Source organism: Homo sapiens, chromosome 12 (genome assembly GCF_000001405.40).
Source record: "Homo sapiens chromosome 12, GRCh38.p14 Primary Assembly".
Taxonomy (NCBI): Eukaryota; Metazoa; Chordata; class Mammalia; order Primates; family Hominidae; genus Homo; species Homo sapiens.
Genome location: NC_000012.12, coordinates 121,892,634 through 121,914,035, shown reverse-complemented (window position 1 = coordinate 121,914,035; position 21,402 = coordinate 121,892,634). Strand labels below are relative to the sequence as shown.

At 47.3% G+C, this 21,402-nt stretch overlaps 1 protein-coding gene and 1 pseudogene across 3 annotated transcripts in view, besides 1 other annotated feature; both read right to left on the bottom strand.

Annotated features, from left to right (window-relative positions):
* The window catches only part of PSMD9 (proteasome 26S subunit, non-ATPase 9), a 29,508-nt gene that overhangs the window by 4,262 nt on the left and 3,844 nt on the right, over nucleotides 1–21,402 (bottom strand). Inside the window, exons 2-4 of one of the 3 annotated variants that reach the window (NM_002813.7) lie at nucleotides 19,195–19,297; nucleotides 14,191–14,402; nucleotides 10,929–11,030 (exon numbers count right to left, since the gene is read on the bottom strand). In NM_002813.7, the coding sequence (NP_002804.2) occupies nucleotides 10,929–11,030; nucleotides 14,191–14,402; nucleotides 19,195–19,297 (417 nt within the window). The remainder of the gene's footprint in view (nucleotides 1–10,928; nucleotides 11,031–14,190; nucleotides 14,403–19,194; nucleotides 19,298–21,402) is intronic. The other 2 variants (NR_048555.3, NM_001261400.3) reach the window with 2 other exon arrangements.
* Nucleotides 2,209–2,365: a silencer, noted in NCBI's record as "fragment chr12:122349577-122349733 (GRCh37/hg19 assembly coordinates)". NCBI's record gives its function as "represses an EF-1alpha promoter that drives an FKBP-Casp9 reporter gene in an ReSE screen in HepG2 liver carcinoma cells {active_cell/tissue: HepG2}" and the evidence as "EXISTENCE:reporter gene assay evidence [ECO:0000049][PMID:32094911]".
* On the bottom strand, nucleotides 5,873–5,933 carry RNU7-170P (RNA, U7 small nuclear 170 pseudogene; annotated as a pseudogene).

The window sequence follows — 21,402 nt, the reverse complement described above, 5'->3', positions numbered from 1 at the left end:
TAGTCCCAGCTACTCGGGAGGCTGAGGCAGGAGGATTGCTCAAGGGAGGTCAAGGCTGCAGTGAGCTGTGACTGCACCACTGCACTCCAGCCTGGGCAACAGAGTGAGACCCTGTCTCAAAAAAATAAAAATAAATAAATAAAACAAGATGCCATCAAAATCTAAAACTTCTATGTATCAAATGACACTATTAACAGAGTGAAAAGGCAACCCACATGATAGGAGAAAATACATACATGCTGGGTACGGTGGCTCATGCCTGTAATCCCAACACATTCAGAGGCCCAGGCAGGAGGACTGCCTCAGCTCAAAAGTTCAAGACCAGCCCGGCAACAAAGAGAGATCTCGTCTTTACAAAAAACATATATTTTTTTTAATTAGCCAGGCTTGATGACGCACATCTGTAGTCCCAGCTACTTGGGAGGCTGAGGTGGGAGGATCACTTGAGCCCAGAAGCTCAAGGCTGCAGTGAGCCATGAATGTGCCACTGCACTCCAGCCTGGGTGACAGAGTGAGATTCTGTCTTAAAAAAAAAAAAAAAAGAAAAAAGAAAATACATGCAAATCATATATCTAATAAGGATTTAACATCCAGAACATATAAAGAACTCCTATACCTCAACATCAACAAAAAAATCTGATTAGAATATGAGCAAAGGGCTGGGTGTGGTGGCTCACGCCTGTAATCCCAACACTTTGGGAGGCCAAGGCAGGCGGATCATGAGGTCAGGAGATCAAGACCATCCTGGCTAACACGGTGAAACCCCGTCTCTACTAAAAATACAAAAAAAAAGGCCAGGCGCGGTGGCTCACGCCTGTAATCCCAGCACTTTGGGAGGCCAAGGTGGGCAGATCACAAAGTCAGGAGATTGACACCATCGTGGCTAACACAGTGAAACCCTATCTCTACTAAAAATACACACACAAAAAAAATTAGCCAGGCTTGGTGGTGGACGCCTGTAGTCCCAGCTACTCGGGAGGCTGAGGCAGGAGAATGGCGTCAACCCAGGAGGCGGAGTTTGCAGTGAGCCGAGATTGTGCCACTGCACTCCAGCCTGGGTGACAGAGCGAGACTCCGTCTCAAAAAAAAAAAAAAAGAAAAGAAAAGAAAATGAGCAAAGGACTTGAATAGACCTTTCTTTTTCTTTCTTTTTTTTTTTTTTTTTTTGAGACAGGGTTTCACTCCTGTTGCCCAGGCTGGAGTGTAGTGATGCAATCCCTTAGCTCACTGCAACCTCTGCCTCCTGGGCTCAAGCGATTCTCCTGCCTCAGCCTCCTGAGTAGCTGTGACTACAGGCACAATCCTCCACACCTGGCTAATTTTTGTATTTTTTTCCAGAGACAGGTTTCACCATGATCCCCAGGCTGGTCTCAAACTCCTGAGCTCGAGTGATCCGCCCGCCTCAGCCTCCCAAAGCACTGGGATTACAGGCATGAGACACAGCGCCCAGCCTAAATAGACATTTCTTCAAAGAAGATATACAAATGATCAAAAAGCACAGGAAAAGATGCTCCATGTCACTAATCATAAGAGAAATGAAAATCAAAACCACAATGAGATTCTACCACACACTGATTATGAAACAGAAAACAAGTGCTGGCGAGGAAGCGGGGAAAATGGAGCCCTGTGCACCACTGGTGGGAATGTGAAACGGTGCACGGCAGTGGAAAACAGTAATGGAGGGTCCTCCAAAACCTAAACAAAGCGCCGGGCACGGTGGCTCACGCCTATAATAGCAGCACTTTGGGAGGCCAAGACGGGTGGGATCGCTTGAGCCCAGGAATTCAAGACCAGCCTGGGCAACACGGCAAAACCACAAAATGCAAAAATTAGCTGGGCATGGTGGCACATGCCTGTAGTCCCAGCTACTCTCAAGGCTGAGGTGGGAGGATTGCTTGAGCCTGGGAAGTCCAGATTGCAGTGAGCCAAGATCACACCACTGCACTCCAGCCTTGGCAACAGAGAACCTGTCTCAAAATAAATAAATAAATAAATAAATAAATAAATAAATAAATAAATAAATAAATAAGCAAGCTCATTCCAGAAACCTGGAAGTCATCTTTGACATTTTAAAATGTTCATAGGCCAGGTGTGGTGGTTCACGCCTGCAATCCCAGCACTTTGGGAGGCCAAGGCAGGTGGATTACTTGAGGTCAGGAGTTCGAGGCGAGCCTGGTCAACATGGTGAAACCCAGTCTCTACTAAAAATACAAAAATTAGCTGGGAGTGGTGGTGGGTGCCTGTAATCCCAGCTACTCAGGAGGCTAAGACAGGAGAATCACTAACCTGGGAGGCGGAGGTTGCAGTGAGCTGAGATTGCACCACTGCACTCCAGCCTGGGTGAGAGCAAGACTCCATCTCAAAAAAAAAAAAAAAGTTCATATATTGAAGTTAAAAAAAATTTTAGAAACTTTAAACATAGAATGACCACATGATGCAGCAATTAAATTTCTGGGCATATATACAAAGAAATGAAAGCAGAGATTTGAACAGATATTGCTACAACCATGTTCAAAGCAGCATTGTTCACAACAAAAAGGTGGAAGCAATCCTAGTGTCCATTGACTAATGAATGGATAAAAATAATGTGGTGTATACATACAGTCGAATATTATACAGCCTTTAAAAGGAAGGAAATTCTGACACATGCTGTAACATGGATGAACCTTGAGGACATTATGCTAAGTGAAATAAGCCAGACAAAAACTATACAGTGTCCTGTAATCCCAGCACTTTGGGAGGCAGAGGCAGGCAGATCATCTGAGATAAGGAGTTTAAGACCAGCCTGGCCAACATGGCAAAACCCCATCTCTACTAAAAATACAAAAATTAGCCATGCCTGGTGGCATACGCCTGTAGTCCCAGCTACTCAGGAGGCTGAGATAGAAGAATGGCTCAAACCTGGGAGGTGGAGGGTGCAGTGAGTGGAGATTGAGCCACTGCACTCCAGCCTGGGCAACAGAGCGAGACACCATCTCAAAAACAAAACAAAACAAAACAAAAAAACTACACAGTATGTAAGATTTCACCTAGATGAGGTCCCTGGAGTAGTCAAATTCATAGAGACAGAAAGTAGGATGGTGGGTGCCAGGGCCTGCGGAAAGTGGGAATGGAGAGTTAGTGTTTAATGGAGATTTGGGTTTCAGTTTAGGAGGGTGAAAAAGTTTTGGAGATGGGAGATGGGTAGGGGTGATATTTGCAAAATAATGTGAATGTACTTAATGCCACTAAAGTGTAGATTTTTTAATGGTTAAAATGGTAATTTTTTTTTTTTTGAGACAAAGTTTCACTCTTGTCACCCAGGCCAGAGTGCAGTGGCGTGATCTCGGCTCACTGCAACCTCTGCCTCCCGGGTTCAGGCAATTCTCCTGCCTCAGCCTCCAGAGTAACTGGGATTACAGGCGCCCACCACGACGCCCGGCTAATTTTGTATTTTTAGTAGAGATAGGGTTTCACCACGCTGGCAGGCTGGTCTCCAGCTCCTGACCTCAGGTGATCCGCCCACCTTGGCCTCCCAAAGTGCTGGGATTATAGGCGTGAGCCACCGCGCCCGGCCTAAAATGGTAATTTTTATATTATGTATATTTACCACAAAAAAATAAATATGTCAGGTCTATCAATGGAATCTCTAAATCTAAGAAAATACAGCATAGGCCGGGCATGGTAGCTCACACCTGTAATCCCAGCACCTTGGGAGGCCAAGGCAGGCGGATCATGAGGTCAAGAGATAGAGACCATCCTGGCCAACATAGTGAAAACCCATCTCTACTAAAAATACAAACATTAGCTGGGCATGGTGGCAGGCACCTGTAGTCCCAGCTACTTGGGAGGCTGAGGCAGGAGAATCGCTTGAACCTGGGAGGCGGAGGCTGCAGTGAGCTGAGATCATGCCGCTGCACTCCAGCCTGGCTATAGAGCGAGACTCCATCTCAAAAAAAAAAAAAAAAAAAAAGTCATTTCCTACCAGATTGTCAAAGAATATCTATGTTATTGCCAAAGACTGTAACATAGTTGGGAAAGCTAGAAACAGACGCACTCACAGGTGCTACTTGAGAGAAGGTGCACTGGCACAAGCTTCTTGGAGGACACCTTGACAAGATCTATGAAGGGTAAATGTGCACTGCCTTTAACTCAGTAATGACACATCTAGCAACATGGCAGAAATTCTCCCACAGGCAAGGACACTCGCTACACCACTGTTTGTTACGGCCAAACACTGGAAACAACCTAAATGTCGAACATGGGAGGCTGGCTAAGTAAAAGATGGTGAACCGACCAATGGAACATGGTGGGATCATTCAAAGGAATGAAGATACAAATGTGCCGACAAGGAATTCCCTTCGAAGTGGGCGGAAATGCAGAGTAACATGTACATTAGGCCTTTTCTGTGTCATCTTTGTCAAAAAGCAATCACAGCCAGGCGTGGTGGCTCATGCTTAATAATCTGAATGTTTTGAGGGGCTGAGGCTGGAGGCTCACTTGAGCCCAGGAGTTCTAGACCGGCCTAGGCAACATAGCAAGACCCTGTCTCTACAAAAAATGAAAAAAAAAAAAATTAGCCAGGTGTGGTGGTGCACACCTGTAGTCCCAGCTACCTGGGAGGCCAAGGCAGGAGGACTGCTCAAGCCCTGGAGTTTGAGGCTGCAGTGAGCTATGATTGCACCACTGCACTCCAGCCTGGGCAGCAGAGCGAGAGACCCTGTCCTAAAAAAAAAAAAAAAGGCAGTGGCTGTAGACGCATGCACCCACGTGTGGAAACTGTGTGAGGGACACACTTGTGTGCTTCCAGTTCTATAAATGACAGCCCTGGGCAGGCTGGAAACCTGGAGGCCTCCTTGACACACTCCATCAGGTTAAGGCCCATGGATTTTACACCCTAAATGTCTCTTTGATTGACCCCTTCCTCCACCCCATTTGTCACAGCCACCATCCTCTCTTGACTGACTGCTACAGCTCTGTCACCCTCCAATCTGTTCTCTACCTAACATCCAGAGAAGGCTTCTTACCCCTGTCACACCCCAATCTGGAACTGTGCGGTGGCTCCCTTCTGCACCTCAGGAAAAAAACAGCACAATCTTTACTAAGGACCACAGGCCTGACCTTAACACCTCCTGGCCTCACCTCCTCCCCTTCTCTCCATTCTGCTCTGGGCTCCACCCTCCTTTGAGTTCTTTGATCCTCCCACCCCAGGGCCTATGAACCTGCTTTGAAGGCTTTTCTCCCTGCCAGCTTCCCCTCGACCAGAGAAACTTCTATACACATCTGAAGGTCACTTCCTGAGGAACACTCCTTCAATCCCAAACCAAATCAGGGCCCCATGATTTACTCTCTGAGCTTCTTAACACTCTTCCTTCATAACACTTATCAGTGTGTATCATTATACAGCTGAGATTATTTGATTAAGGCCTGGCTCCCCCACCAAAGTGCTCCCAAGGCAAGGACCCTGTTTGTTTCGTTCCCCGTTACAGCCCCAGTACCTCGCCCAGGACCCAGCATGTGCAGCGGAAGAGGCACTAAGGAAGGGAGAGACACAGGACTTTTTAAAAAATTATTTTGGGGCCAGGCACAGTGGCTCACGCCTATAATCTCAGCACTTTGGGAGGCCGAAGCGGGCAGATCATCTGAGGTCAGGAATTAAGAGACCAGCCTGACCAACATGGAGAAACTCCATCTCTACTAAAAATACAAAATTAGCCGGGCTTGGTGGTGCATGCCTGTAATCCCAGCTACTCAGGAGGCTGAGGCAGGAGAATTGCTTGAACCCGGGAGGCGGAGGTTGCAGTGAGCCAAGATCGCGCCACTGCACTCCAGCCTGGGCAACAAGAGCGACAACTCTGTCTCAAAAAAAAAAAAAAATTTATTTTTGAGGGGAGAGGGTGTTTCCAGCGATGACCAGAAAACCTGGTAGACAAATTCTTAGAGCTATAACACTAGGACTTTTGTTTGTAAATACAATTGCACTATGTGATTTTAAGGATAAATATGTATTTTATTTATTTGAGACAGGGTTTCACTCTGTCATCCAGGCTGGAGTGCAGTGGTGTGACCTTGGCTTACTGCACCCTTGAACTCCTAGGGTCAAGTGATCCTCCTGCCTCAGCCTCCAGAGCAGCTTGGCCACATGCCACTATGCTTGGCCAATTTCTTAAAAAATATTTTGGAGAGACACAGTCTCACAATATTGCCCAGGCTGGTCTCAAACTCCTGGCCTCAAGTGATCCTCCTGCCTTGGCCTCCCAAAGTGTTGGGAACACAGGCGTGAGCCACTGCAGCCAGCCTATTTTTATCATTGAGACATAATTTGCATACAATAAAATTCACCATTTTAAAGTATACAATTAAGTGAGTTTTAGTATATTCAGAGTTCAGTATATTCAATGTATTTAGTATAAACAACCACCACTATCTAATTCTGGATCATTTTCATCACCCAAAAAGAAATCCATTATCCATCAGCAGTCATTTATAATTTTTTAAAGATCTTTTCCCCTTGAAAATGTATGCATTTGATCTAGAAATCCCAGCTGTAGGAAGTTCGCTAAAAAAGGCCAGGTGCCGGGAGGCAGAGGTTGCAGTGAGCTGAGATAATGCCACTGCACTCCAGCCTGGGTGACAGAGCAAGACTCCATCTCAAATAAAAAACAAACAAAAAAAAAAACAAAGAAAGGCCGGGCACAGTGGCTCACGCCTGTAATCCCAGCACTTTGGGAGGCCGAGGCGGGCAGATCACCTGAGGTCAGGAGTTCAAGACCCGCCTGGCCAACATGGTGAAACCCCATCTCTACTGAAAATACAAAAATTAGCTGGGCGTGGTGGCGGGTGCCTGTAGTCCCAACTACTTGGGAGGCTGAGGCAGGAGAATCGCTTGAATCTGTGAGGCGGAGGTTGCAGTGAGCTGAGATCATGCCATTGCACTCCAGCCTAGGCAACAAGAGAAAAACTTCGTCTCAAAAAAAATAAAAAAAGAAATAGAAATCCATCTGCAAGAGTGTTAATCTCCACAAAATGGCAAACTATCTAAATGTCTCACAATAGAACACTGTGAGTTTTTTGGTTTTTTTTTTTTTTTTGACACAGAGCCTCACTCTGTCGCCCAGGCTAGGGTGCAGTGGCATGATCTAAGCTCACTGCAACCTCTGCCTCCCGGGTTCAAGCAATTCTCCTGCCTCGGCCTCCCAAGTAGCTGGAGAGTACCACCACACCTAATTTTTTTTTTTTTGAGATGGGAGAGTCTCGCTGTGCGGCCCAGGCTGGAGTGCAGTGGCGTGATCTTGGTTCACTGCAACCTCTGCCTCCGAGGTTCAAGTGATTCTCCTGCCTCAGCAGCCCAAGTAGCTGGGACTACAGGCACACACCACCACACCCAGATAATTTTTTTTTTTTTTTTGTATTTTTAGTAGAGACCGGTTTTCACCATGTTGGGCAGGATGGTCTCGATCTCTTGACCTTGTGATCTGCCCACTTTGGCCTCTTAAAGTGCTGGGATTACAGGTGTGAGCCACCGTGCCAGGCCTAATTTCTTATTTTTAGTAGAGATGGGGTTTCACCATGTTGGCCAGGCTGGTCTTGAACTCCTGACCTCAGGTGATCCACCCGCCTCAGCCTCCCAAAGTGCTGGGATTACAGGTGTGAGCCACTGTGCTATGCAAGGTTTTTTTTCTTGACTCACAAAACAGACAACCAAACCCGGATTCTTGATTCTCCAGCTGAGCTCAGGTCCCCTGAGGGGATGAGGCTGAAGCCAGAAAGGCCCTACTCACAACACACGACCTTCTCCATCCTCCAGCCCACCAAGACAGCTCAGCCTTTATCCAGTGACATCTTGGAATTCCCCGTGAAATTTCACATGAAGAAAAGATTCATTTTGCTTAAAATTGAATCACTACTTTTATAAAGAAGGATTTATAAGCCTACACGGAAGCTGAGAATACATTTAACTGGATAAAACAGATTAAAAACCAGCAGCTCTTCTCACAGATCCACACAACAGACAGAAGTCTCAGAATCCACTGGGCTGAGTGAAGAACACCAGACTCAAAAGGCAATATATTGTGTGGTTTTTCTCTCTATGACATTCTGGAAGTTGACGGTGAGGGATTAACTACAAAGAAGCCTGAGGCAATTTTATGGGGTGTTGGAATGCTCTTGACCTTCATCGTGGTGGCAATGACATACTACATACATTTGTGAAAACTCACGGGAATGGCAGGCCACAGTGGCTCACTCCTGTAATCCCAGAACTTTGGGAGGCTGAGGTGGGTGGATCACCTGAGGTTAGGAGTTTGAGACCAGCCTGGCCAACATGCTGAAACCCTGTCTCTACTAAAAATACAAAAAAAAATTAGCTGGGCGTGGTGGTGGGCACCTATAATCCCAGCTACTTGGGAGACTGAGGCTGGAGAATCGCTTGAACCTGGGAGGCAGAGGTTGCAGTGAGCCGAGATCGTGCCACTGCACTCCAGACTGGGCAAAAGAGCAAAACTCCATCTTAAAGAAAAAAAAAAGAAAACTCGGCTGGGTGTGGTGGCTCACACCTGTAATCCCAGCACTTTGGGAGGCCAAGGCAGGTGGATCACGAGGTCAGGAGATCGAGACCATCCTGGCTAACACAGTGAAACCCCATCTCTACTAAAAATACAAAAAAATTAGCTGGGCATGGTGGCACATGCCTGTAGTCCCAGCTACTCGGGAGGCTGAGGCAGGAGAATGGCGTGAACCTGGGAGGCAGAGCTTGCAGTAGCCCCCCCGAGACTGCACCACTGCACTCCAGCCTGGGCGACAGAGCAAGACTCCATCTAAAAAAAAAAAAAGAAAAGAAAAAGAAGAAAACTCATGGGACTGTACACTGAAAAAGGTGGATCTGGTGCAGGTAAATTACACCTTAATAAAATAAAATCAACTGGCAGCTCTGTGTGCTGGTATATGAGCAGTCTTTCTGAAGGACATGTGGCTGGAAAGTGGCTGCCTCAGGAGGAGAAGTGATGAAAATGTACAATTGTGATGGCTGCATAATTCTGTGACTACACTAAAAACCACTTTAAATGGGTGAACTGTGTAGTATGTGCATTAAATCTCAATAAAACTGTTGTAAAAATAATAAAAATAGACCAGGCGCAGTGGCTCACATCTGTAGTCCCAGCACTTTGGGAGGCCAGTTTGAGACCAGCCTGGCCAACATAGCGAAACCCCATCTCTACTAAAAATACAAAAATTAGCCAGGCATGGTGGTGGGCGCCTGTAATCCCAGCTACTCAGGAGGCTGAGGCAGGAGAATCACTTGAACCTGGGAGGCGGAGGTTGCAGTGAGCCAAGATCGCACCACTGCACTCCAGCCTGGGTGACAGAGCGAGACTCCATCTCAAATAATAATAATAATAATAATAATAATAATAATAAATTTCAGATGGACTAAAGGAAAAACAGAAATAAAACAATAAAAGAATTAAAAGAATTTCTTTTTTTGAGACAGAGTCTTGCTCTGTCGCCTAGGCTGGAGTGCAATGGCGCGATCTCGGCTCACTGCAAGCTCTGCCTCCTGGGTTCAAGCGATTCTCCTTCCTCAGTCTCCCAAGTAACTGGGACTACAAGTGTGTGCCACCACACCCGGCTAATTTTTTGTATTTTTAGTAGAGACGGGGTTTCACCGTGTTAGCCAGGATGGTCTCCAACTCCTGACTTCGTGATCCACCCACCTCGCCCTCCTAAAGTGCTGGGATTACAGGAGTGAGCCACCACGCCCAGCCAAGAATTTCTTAATTAAAAAAAAAAAAAAGAATTTCTTTAAATGGACACAAAATGCAAGAGCCATAAGCAAAAAAACTGATAAATTTCACAAAATCATCATTTTAAACGTCCATACAAGTTACAGATTTGATGACAGTATCAGTGCAGAAACGATGGCCTGACCACTAGCAGGGGCATAGGCAACTGCCAGCCATCTCCTGACCTGACCTGGCCTGGCCTGCACTGATGGGTTACAAGTAGATGAACCGTGCAGCTAAGCAGGAGTCAAAAAATCCACAACTGTTGGGTTAACTGGAGACTTCATTTGGGAACCAAAAACTTTAGTTAATAATTTTCCTGGGCTTTGCCACAGTATCACTCCTGAAAAGTGTGGATCTTTGCTACAAAACAACAACAAAAATTCCAGCCTGGACAACATAGCAAGACCCCGCCTCCACAAAATATAAAAAAATTAGCCGTGAGGTAGTTATGATAGCACCACCACACTCTAGCCTGGGTGACACAGCATGACCCTGTCTTAAAAAAAAAAAAAAAAAAAAGAAAAGATCTCTAAGAAACCTTGTTAAATGAAAACAGAGACAGGGCAGAGGAGAGGGGAATTTGGGTTAGGGTAGCCAGGAAAGGCCCCCTGCGAGCATGTCACCAGTGTAAAACAGAAGGAGGATGAAGAGGAAGAGCATTCTAAACAGAAGGAATAGCAGGTGCCAAGTCCTTGAATGGGGCTGTGCTGAGCAACACCATGAAGGCAGCAGTCCAGGGCCTCAGCAACACTTCCAGTAACTCCAGGGCTATAGACCAGAGGCCGAGTGCTATGACCTGAATGTCTGTGGCCCCCTGAAATTCATATGTTGAAATCCTAACCACCAATGTGATGGTATTAGGGGTGGGGCCTCTGCAAGGTGATTAGGTCATGAGGGGTGGCGCCCCCACTGGGATTAGTGCCCTTATACAAGAGCTCCCAGGGTTCCTCCCCTTTCTGCCATGTGAGGACACAGCAAGAAGGCACCACCTAGGAGTTAGGAAGCAAGCCCTCCCCAGACACCAAATTGGCTGGTGCCTGGATCTTGGACTTCCCTGCCTCCAGAGCTGTGAAAAATGAACTTCTGTTGTTTGTAAGCCACGCAGTCTATGGCATACTGTTAGAAAAACCCAAACAGACCGAGACACCAGGTAGCCCCACTCACCCCCTCACTGTGCTGCACCACACTGCCAATGTTATGCAGTGACTGGAAGTTCTGGGTGTTCACAGAGCCGAACTCCACAATCTCATCATCCACTTGCAGACCCTGGAGAGGGAAGGAAAAATGGAAAATCAGGCTAGAGGTTCAGTGTGCTCCTGGTGGTCTCTAACCTTCAATACCCAATTTAATGCCAAGGTCACGAGCTTGTTTTCTACAGGGTAGGCTCAGAACAAAGAGGTCAGGGATGTAGACACCTCATGCAGGAAGGGGCAGTGGGTAACGGGGCCACCTCCTCCTGGGGTTCCTTTGAGGGCAGCTCTAGTAAAGATGACCAGGTCTGCCCAATGTCTGAGAGCTGGCAGTTACCAGACACTGTGAAGGCCTTGAGGAGCATGGGAAAGGCCAAATGCTGCTCTCTGCGGTCCTAACCCAGGTTCAAGGGTAAGAGAAGGCAAGCCAGGCTGGGCCCATTTTATTCAGTGATCAACATTTAGACAAGACACTTGCCCTAGAAGCCCCCAGACAAGCAGCCACAGGCACAGGGCGCATCCAAGACTAGAGTGACGCTCTTGTTCTAGGTCCTAAGAAGACAGACCACCACTCATTCACCCCTGTAACAAGTATTTGTTGTGGGCCAACTGGCACTGGGTTAGATGCAGTAGATGGGGTAGTGAATGATAGGGAGCTTCTGTGTAACTTACAGACTTGTGACCATTAAAGAAGACTGGTAGGACCAGGGTTTAGGACCCCATTCCACCTGGCAGGAACTATGTGTCCTGACCAGGGTTTAGGACCCCATTCCACCTGGCAGGAACTATGTGTCCTGACCAGGGTTTAGGACCCCATTCCACCTGGCAGGAACTATGTGTCCTGACATAAGTTACTTCAGGTCTGCAAGGCTTTTCCTCGAGGATGAAATGAGTAAAGATTAGGACCTATCCCAGAAGTGGCTGTGGAATTAAATTTAACTACATCTCCACAAAAAAACTGTACAAGAATGTTCGCAGCAACATGCTTCGTAATAGCCAAAAAGTGGTAACAATTCAAATGTCCATTAACTGACAAATGGATAAATAAAATATGATATATCCAGGCAGTGGAATATTATTTGGCCATAAAAAGGAATGAAGGGCCAGGCACAGTGGCTCACGCCTGTAATCCCAGCACTTTGGGAGGCTGAGGCGGGCGGATCACGAGGTCAGGAGATCGAGACCACCCTGGCTAACAAAGTGAAACCCTGTCTCTACTAAAAATACAAAAAATAAAAATTAGCTGGACGTGATGGCAGGCGCCTGTAGTCCCAGCTACTCGGGAGGATGAGGCAGGAGAATGGCGTGAACCTGGGAGGCGGAGCTTGCAGTGAGCCGAGATCGTGCCACTGCACTCCAGCCTGGGCGACAGAGCGAGACTCCGTCTCAAAAAAAAAAAAAAAAAAAAAAAAAAAGAAGGAATGAAGGGCCAGGCATGACAGCTCATGCCTGTAATTCTAGCACTTTGGGAGGCCGAGGAAGAAGGATCGCTTGAGGCCAGGAGTTCAAGACCAGCCTGGGCAACATAGTGAGAACCCATCTCTAAAAAAAAAAGGAAATAAAAAATTAACCAGGCATGGTTACATGTGCCTACAGTCCTAGCTGCTTGGGAGGCTGAGACAGGAGGATCACTTGACTCTGCGAGTTTGAGGTTGCAGTGAGCTATGATGGCACCATGGCACTGAAGTCTGGGTGAGAGAGTGAGACCCTGTCTGTAAACAAATGAAGCACTGATCCATGCTCAATACAGATGACTTGAAAATTTGCTAAGTGAAAGAAGCCAGTCATAAAAGGTCACATATTATATGATTCAACTTATAGGAAATATCCAGAATAGACAAATACATAGAGACAGAAAGTAGATAACTGGGTGCGGGGAGCTGGGGGATTGGGAAGTGATGGCAAATCACTACAGAGTTTCTTTACAAGACAATGACAATGTTCTGAAATTGATTATGGCTGGGCATGGTGGCTCATGCCTATAATCCCAGCATTTTGGGAGGCCAAGGTGGTAGAATCACTTGAGCCCAGGAGATGGAGACCAACCTACGCAACAGAGCGAAACCCCATCTCCTTTTTTTTTTTTTTTTTTTTTTAGACAGAGTCTCACTCTGTCGCCCAGGCTCTGGAGTGTAGTGGCACGATCTCCGCTCACTGCAACCTCCACCTCCTGGGTTCAGGCGATTCTCCTGCCTCAGCCTCCCGAGTAGCTGGGATTACAGGCACATGTCACCACACCCGGCTAATGTTTGTATTTTTAGTAGAGATGGGGTTTCGCCATGTTGGCCAGGCTGGTCTTGAACTCCTGACATAAGGTGATCGCCCACCTAAGCCTCCCAAAGTGCTGGGATTACAGGCGTGAGCCACTGCACCTGGCTGCAAATTTTTTAAATAGAAAGAAAATTGATTGTGGTAATGCATGGCTCTGTGAATACACCAAAAGACACTAAACTGTATACGGACTTTAAATGGGTAAATTTTTTTTTTTTTTTTGAGACGGAGTCTCACTCTGTTGCCCAGGCTGGAGTGCAGTGGCATGATTTTCGTATTTTTAGTAGAGACGGGGTTTCGCCATGTTGGCCAGGTTGGTCTCGAACTCCTGACCTCAAGTGATCCACTGGCCTCGGCCTCCCAACATGCTGGGATTACAGGCGTGAGCCAATGCTCCCGGTCAAAAAAAAATTTTTTTTAAGACAAGGTCTCACTCTGTCACCCAGGCTGGAGTGCAGTGGCACAGTCACAGCTCACTGCAACTTCGACTTCCTGAGCCCAAGTGATCCTCCCATCTCAGCTTTCCAAGTCGCCTCAGCCTTCTCAAGTGCTGGGATTACACGCATGAGCCACTGTGCCCAGCCTAATGTTTTTTTTAAGACACCACATAAGATGCATAACTCATTTGGCAAGATGCCATTCTCATTTTCATCATTCAGTGCCCAGCTAAAATGAGCCCCAAGAAGAGATCCTCTCCCTCTCTTGGGACATTTATCATCTTCTGTCACTGGGAAGAGGTCACTCCCCCACCAATGTAGTGGGCAGCCGGGGCTGACCCCTCTCTAAAACTCTGCCCCCAGCACAGGGCTGGATACACGACAGGCCTCAGTCAGTGTTTGTTAAATGAGTAACTGAACTCAGCACCGCAGCACGGAGAGAACTAGTCTGTCTTTCCACATCCCCGAAGGCTACCTGACCCACCGTGTCCCCTGGGCATGGACTTGAGTGGCCAACCCCTGGATTACCGCGATGCTGGCTGGGGAGCCGGGGCTGATGCTGTTCACTTTGGCGAAGGCCCGTGGAGGGCCCTGGCTCTCACTCTGACCCAGTTTGCGGCTCATGGCCTCTTTGTGGGCCTCAGCCATGTCCCGGGCCTGCTTCTCCTTGTCGCGAGCGTGCAGCTGGTGCAGGGCCTCCTCCACCTGCTTCATCACTGCCTTGTGATCATTCTGCAGGCCTGGGATGAGAACCACACATCAGGGGCCAAGGAAGACAGTGGAGGACACAAGACTCCTACATTTATTCACTGAAGAGTTAACAAGTGCTTATTACATGCCAGATGTGGAGCTAGAGGTGAGAAGGAGTCTCTGACCAAGACAGAGGACATTCCCTCATGGAGCATTCAGTCCTGCAAGGAGCAGCTCCAGAATAAGTAATTACAATAACATCTGATGACTGCAGGGAGGCCTGGCCAGCAGCAAAGTCTGCCCTCGCTAGTCTAGGATATGAGGGAAGGCTTCCTGAAGGCAGTGCTGTCTCGGGTGAGCCCTGAGAGGTGAGCAGAAGGAAGGTAACAACCAGCTGAATCCACAGCCATGAACTCAAAGGCATATGTATGAGGGGCCAGCGCTGTGATCATGTGAATGAATGACTCAGGCTGGGTGTAATCAAGATTTCACTTTTCTCTGAAATCCTCTAGAAGGAAAAATGCTGCATAAGCCGGGCACAGAGGCTCACGCCTGTAATCCCAGCACTGTGGGAGGCCGAGGCAGGCAGATCACGAGGTCAAGAGATCGCGACCACCTTGCCAACATGGTGAAACCCCGTCTCTACTAAAAAATACAAAAATTAGGCCGAGCGTGGTGGCTCAGGCCTGTAATCCCAGAACTTTGGGAAGTCAAGGTGGCCGGATCACGAGGTCAGGAGATGGAGACCATCCTGGCTAACACGGTGAAACCCCGTCTCTACTAAAAATACAAAAATTAGCCGGGCATGATGGCAGGCGCCTGTAGTCCCAGCTACTCGGGAGGCTGAGGCAGGAGATTGGCGTGAACCAGGGAGGCGGAGATTGCAGTGAGCCGAGATCGCGCCACTGCACTCTAGCCTGGGCAACAGAGCAAGACTCCGTCTCAAAAACAAAACAAAACAAAACAAAAACAAAAATTAGCTGGGCGTGGTGGCGGGTGCCTGTAATCCCAGCTACTTGGGAGGCTGAAGCAGGAGAATTACTTGAACCCAGGAGGTGGAGGTTGCAGTGAGCCGAGATCGCACCACTGCCCTCCAGCCTGGCGACAAAGCAAGAATTCGTCTCAAAAAAAAAAAAAAAAAGTGCTGCATAAGCCTAGTAATCCTGGAGACATTCAGTCCAGGAGAGGGAGTCCACAGGGAGGTGGCCAAAGGGCACCCCTGCTACAGGGCTCTTGCCAATTGGCTGGGTTTGGGAGGAAGACCCAATGCTACAAAATCTTTGATTTTTCCAGAAAAGCTGAAAATTGGGATCTTTGAAGTGAAATTCTCTGATTTTTCAGTACAGATAGCTAATTCAAAATGTTGTGAACCACCATGGCAATCTGCAGGCCACGCCAGCACAGCAGCTGGTATTTTGATACCTTGTGCCTGTCAGTGGGATTGCGGTACTACCTGACCTGCCTCCTCTGCCACTGTCACTTTGGAGCAAAGGCAAGACCCTCAGTCATGAAGGGATTCAAGTTCTCAACCCACAGGAGCAGATGTGGGAAAAGAACCCAGATCTGAACAAGTGGAGACATGCACTTGGGAGGCAGACTTACATAATACATGGTCACTTTCACTAGAAAAGCCCTCCCCCAGTGAGGTCCACAGCATCCCTAGACTCTGCAATGCCTGGCACAGGGAAGTGCTCAATACACAGCTGTTGGGGAATGGAACGAACGACTATTTACAACATATTACAATTCTAATCAAAATGTTGAAAGGGTTTTTTTCAGTACAAAATGTTTCTGCAGTGTATTTCAAAAAACAAATTTGCAATTATAACAAACGTACCATATTAACATAAGCTGTTAGCTGGGCGCGGTGGCTCATGCCTGTAATCCCAGCACTTTGCGAGGCCGAGGCGGGCAGATCACCTGAGGTCAGGAGTTCGAGACCAGCCTGGCCAACATGGTGAAATCCCGTCTCTACTAAAAAAATACTACTAAAAAATTAGGCCAGGCATGGTGGCTCACGCCTGTCGAGGCCGAGGCGGGCGGATCACCTGAGGTCAGGAGTTGGAGACCAGCCTGGCCAACATGGTGAAATCCCGTCTCTACTAAAAAAATACTACTAAAAAATTAGGCCAGGCATGGTGGCTCACGCCTGTCGAGGCCGAGGCGGGCGGATCACCTGAGGTCAGGAGTTCAAGACCAGCCTGGCCAACATGGTGAAACCCTGTCTCTACTAAAATATAAAAATTAGCCGGGCACGATGGCGGATGCCTGTAATCTCAGCTACTTGGGAGGCTGAGATGGGAGAATCACTTGAACCCGGGAGATGGTGAGTGCAGTGAGTGAGCCGAGATCATGCCACTGCACTCCAGCCTAGGTGGCTAAGCAAGATTCCATCTCAAAAAAAAAAAAAAAATTAGTCCGGTGTGATGGTGGGCACCTGTAATCCCAGCTACTTGGGAAGCTAAGGCTGGAGAATCACTTGAACCTGTGTGTATACACATGTGTATATATTTGGGAGGCCTCAGCCTCCCAAAGTGCTGGGATTACAGGCATGAGCCTCTGTGCCCAGCTTATGCAGCATTTTTCCTTCTAGAGGATTTCAGAGAAAAGTGAAATCTTGGTTACACCCAGCCTGAGTCATTCACTCATATGTGTATTTTGCATATATACACGCATGTGTATATTTTACATACACATGTATGTGTGTATATATTTACATGTATGTGTAGATATATACACATGTATGTGTATATATGCTGTTAACAACACGGGAGATTACATACAGAAGCCAAAGGACCTATGCATTATTTTCCAATTTTTTTTTCTTTTCTTTTTTTTTTTTTTTTTGAGACAGAGTTTCACTCTTGTTGCCCAGGCTGGAGTGCAATGGCACAATCTCGGCTCACGGCAACCTCCGCCTCCTGGGTTCAAGTGATTCTCCTGCCTCAACCTCCTGAGTAGCTGGGATTACAGGTTCGTGCCACCATGCCCAGCTAATTTTGTATTTTTAGTAGAGACAGGGTTTCTCCATGTTGGTCAGGCTGGTCTCGAACTCCCGACCTCAGGTGATCTGCCCACCTCGGCCTCCCAGTGTGCTGGGATTACAGGCGTGAGCCACCGCACCCAGCCATTATTTTCCAATTTTTATGTAAATCTATAACTGTTCTTTAAAAAGGGCTGTTTTGAGAATAGATTTTCTTTCTTTTTTTTGAGACAGAGTTTTGTTTGCTCTGTCGCCCAGGGTGGAGTGCAGTGGTGTAATCTCGGCTCTTTGCAACCTCTGCCTCCTGGGTTCAAGTGATTCTCCTGTCTCAGCCTCCCAAGTAGCTGGAATTACAGGCATGTGCCACCACATCCAGTTAATTTTTCTATTTTTAGTACAGACAGGATTTTGCCATGTTGGTCAGGCTAGACTCAAACTCCTGACCTCAGGTGATCTGCCCGCCTTGGCTTCCCAAAGTGCTGGGATTACAGGCATGAGCCACCGCACCCGGCCGAGAACAGATTTTTCAAAAAAAGACCAATAAGGAATTGCTCAAACAGATTTTTTTTTTTTTTTTGAGACGGTCTCTTGCTCTGTCACTCGGGAGGTGGAAGTTGCAGTGAGCCAAGATCGTGCCACTGCACTCCAACCTGGGTGACAGAGCGAGACTCCGTCTCAAAAAATAAATAAATAAATAAGATGTGATGCAGATGGAATCAAGATTCAAACAGATTAAAGAGGAGTTAGTAAGTGAAAAATGTGGAGGATAAATGCTAATAGGACTCTGTGGTGGAGACGGTTGCCTACCTATGGCTGAGTGGATAATGGCCCCCAACACATCCACATCCTAGCCCCTAGAAGCTGGGAATATGCCACCTTACATGGCAAAAGAGGCTCTGCAGATGTGATTAAGGACCTTAAGATTCGGACATGATCCTGGATTATCCAGGTGGGCCTGGTGTCATCACAGAGGTCTTTATAGGTGAAAGAGGGAGGCAGGAGAGTGAGAGAAAGAGATGTTATGACAGAATCAGAGGGAGGGAAATGCGACTGCTGGCTGTGTAGATGGACGAAGCCATGAGCCAAGGACGGTGGGCAGCCTTTGGAAACCAGAAAAGACCAGGAACAGGTTCTCCCCTAGATCCTCCAGAAGGAGCCAGCCCTGCCAACACCTTGATTTTAGTCCAGTGAGACCCATCTGGACTTCTTATCTCCAGCTACTAAGTCTGTGGTCATTTGTTATGGCAGAAACAGAAACAAATATACTATCCAATCTGTACTCTCTGCTAGCTCTTTAATTAAAAACAAATCACGTCATTTGTTATGGCAGAAACAGAAAACAAATATACTATCCAATCTGTACTCTCTGCTAGCTCTTTAATTAAAAACAATCAGCACCTTGGAAGGCCAAGGCAGGAGGACCACTTGAGTCCAGGAGTTCAAGACTCACCTGGGCCACTTAGTGAGACTCGTCTCTACTAAAAAAAATTAGCCAGGCACAGCGACACATGCCTATAGTCCCAGCTACTTGGGAGGCTGAGGCAGAAGGAGCACTTGGAGCCTGGGGGGTTGAGACTGCAGTGAGTCATGTTAGCACCACTGCACTCCAGCCTGGAAGACAGAGCAAGACCCTGACTCAAAAAAAAAAGAGAGAGAGAGAGAGAGAGAAAATGAAACCAGAAATATAGAACCTTAGAGTCTAGCCCATTCCCTTGGTTCTCAGTCCTTGGATGGGGACAAGACAATCCCATCAAGGCAGAAGAGAAGGCAGTAGATAATACAGATAGTTGGTTTTATTTGTATGCCTTTAACACCTTCCCACCACAAGGTGGGGAAAGTCTTCTAAGAGGGCCACTCACATATGATGTTGTGCCTGGCGGTGCGGACTTGGTACAGGTCCACGTCTGACCGGGGGTAGCCCTCACAGTCCACCAGCGGCTCGTTCATCCCAATGCCTTTTTGCTGGAGGAAAGAAACGTGGTTAAAAGGTGCTCATGGGTGTAATGTCCCCAGGATGTCTTTCCCCAGACCCTTCTCCTCTGAAGTCATAATAAAGGTGACAGTAATGAAAACTGCCACATACTGATCACTTACACCAGGGGCTCTACTCATGCCCTCACAACTACCCTGGGGTGGGCACTGTGTTTTTCATTTTTTATTTTTAACGACGCAAGTAATGCATGAATCCATTCTTTTTTGAAGTTAAAACAGTGCCGATAAAACCAAAGACTCCTTTGAGCATCATCCCCAAGGCCAGCCTCTTCCTCCACTCCTTCACACCCTCCTTCCCACAGGTGGCTGACACCTGGCTGCTGGCCCTGGAAGCTAGAGGGGAGTGAAAAGCCCAGACAGCACCCAGCTGTGGCAGGGCTTTGATTCTTCTGAAAATAAAAAGATCTGAAGAAGGAAACTGATAGCACCAGCTGCCTCCGGGGAGAAGAACTGGGTGGCTAGGTGACAGGGCAGGGAGAGAGACAGTCCATTTTATACCCCTCTGTAGGTTTTGAATTTTGCCTATGGGAATGTATTCTTTATTCAAAACAACACTTTTTTTTTTTTTAACATGAGTCAGAGGAGAGTACACAAAAGCAGTGAAACCAGTCACATGGTTCAGGGGAGGGGCTTTGCAATTGGTTAGACTTTAATTTGAATCTCAACTCTGCCATGTACAAGCTGGGCATCCTTAGCTGAGACCTTCTCCTCTCTAAGCCTCAGCTTCCTCAATTATAAAATGGGAATAGGAGCACTCGCCTCCCTCCCTACCTGCTGCAAGAACTAACGAGCTGACCTGCAGAGTACTTAGCACATGCCACGCGCATACACAGCATAGTGGGTTGAAGAGCGGCCCCCAAAAACAGATAACCACGAGCTAACCCCCAGAACCTGTAAATATGACTTTATTTGAAAAAGAGTCTTTGTAGATGTAATTATGTTAAGGATCTCGAGATAAGCTCATCTGGTGGCTGGTGTCCTCATAAAAGAAAGGCAGAGGTAGGTGTGGGACAGACACAGGAGGAAGGCCACATGAAGATGCAGGCAGAGGTTCAAGTGACACAGCTGTAGGCCAAGGACCGCCAGCAGTCACCAGAGGCCAGGAGAAAGGCTTGGGAGCTTCTCTCTCAGAGCCTGCAGAAGGAGCCAACCCTGCTGACACCTTGATTTCAGACTTCTGGCCTCCAGAGCTGGGACAAAGTAAATTCCTGTTTTAAGTCACCAACTCTGTGGTGTTAAGGTGGCCTCAGAAAACGACTACGCGCAGAAGTCATAAATAGTGGCTGTAAGGATTAGTCAGTCCAGGGACAAGCTGCCAGTGTACACAGGCACTGAGAAGAGGGATTCCATTCATTTTGCTCCCTTTCTCTCTGGAAGCCTCCGGGTTACACCCAAACCTACTGTCCACTGCGCAGGGAGATAGTTCTCCACACTCCCCTAACACAGGACTCGCCGTGACACTGCAGAAATGCGCCAGGGGCTAAAAACCTGTATCTGCTCCTGCCTTCCCACAGTGGTTAAGGGTTGACCAGCCTTTGAGAATCAATATCACATTGGATAATGCTTCTCAAAGGATGGGATCCATAACACTAGCAGCTCACACACACGGCATTAAATAACCCTGAATCAAAAATACATATTCCTCTCCCAATTCTCTACAATCCTGCAATTGTCAAGGCAAAAGTGTCCATTTGGTGCTGGTCTCTGCAACACCCCAGTTACTTGCTATCTCTAGTACCCTCTGTTTTTATAACAGTTTTATTGAGATATAATTCAGATACCATATAACTGACCCATGTAAAGTGTAAAAGGTAATGGCTTTTGTGTTTGTATTGGTTTGAGACAAGATCTTCTGTTGCCCAGGATCGGGTGCAGTGGTGTGTTCATAGCTCACTGCCGCCTTAAACTCCTGGGTTCAAGCGATCTGTCTCAGCCTCCTAAGTAGCTGGGACCACAGGCACATGTCATCACACCTGGCTAATTTTTAATTTTTAATTTTTTTTTTTTAAAGACAGAGTCTCGCTCTGTTGCCCAGGCTAGAGTACAGTGGCGAGATCTTGGCTCACTGCAAGCTC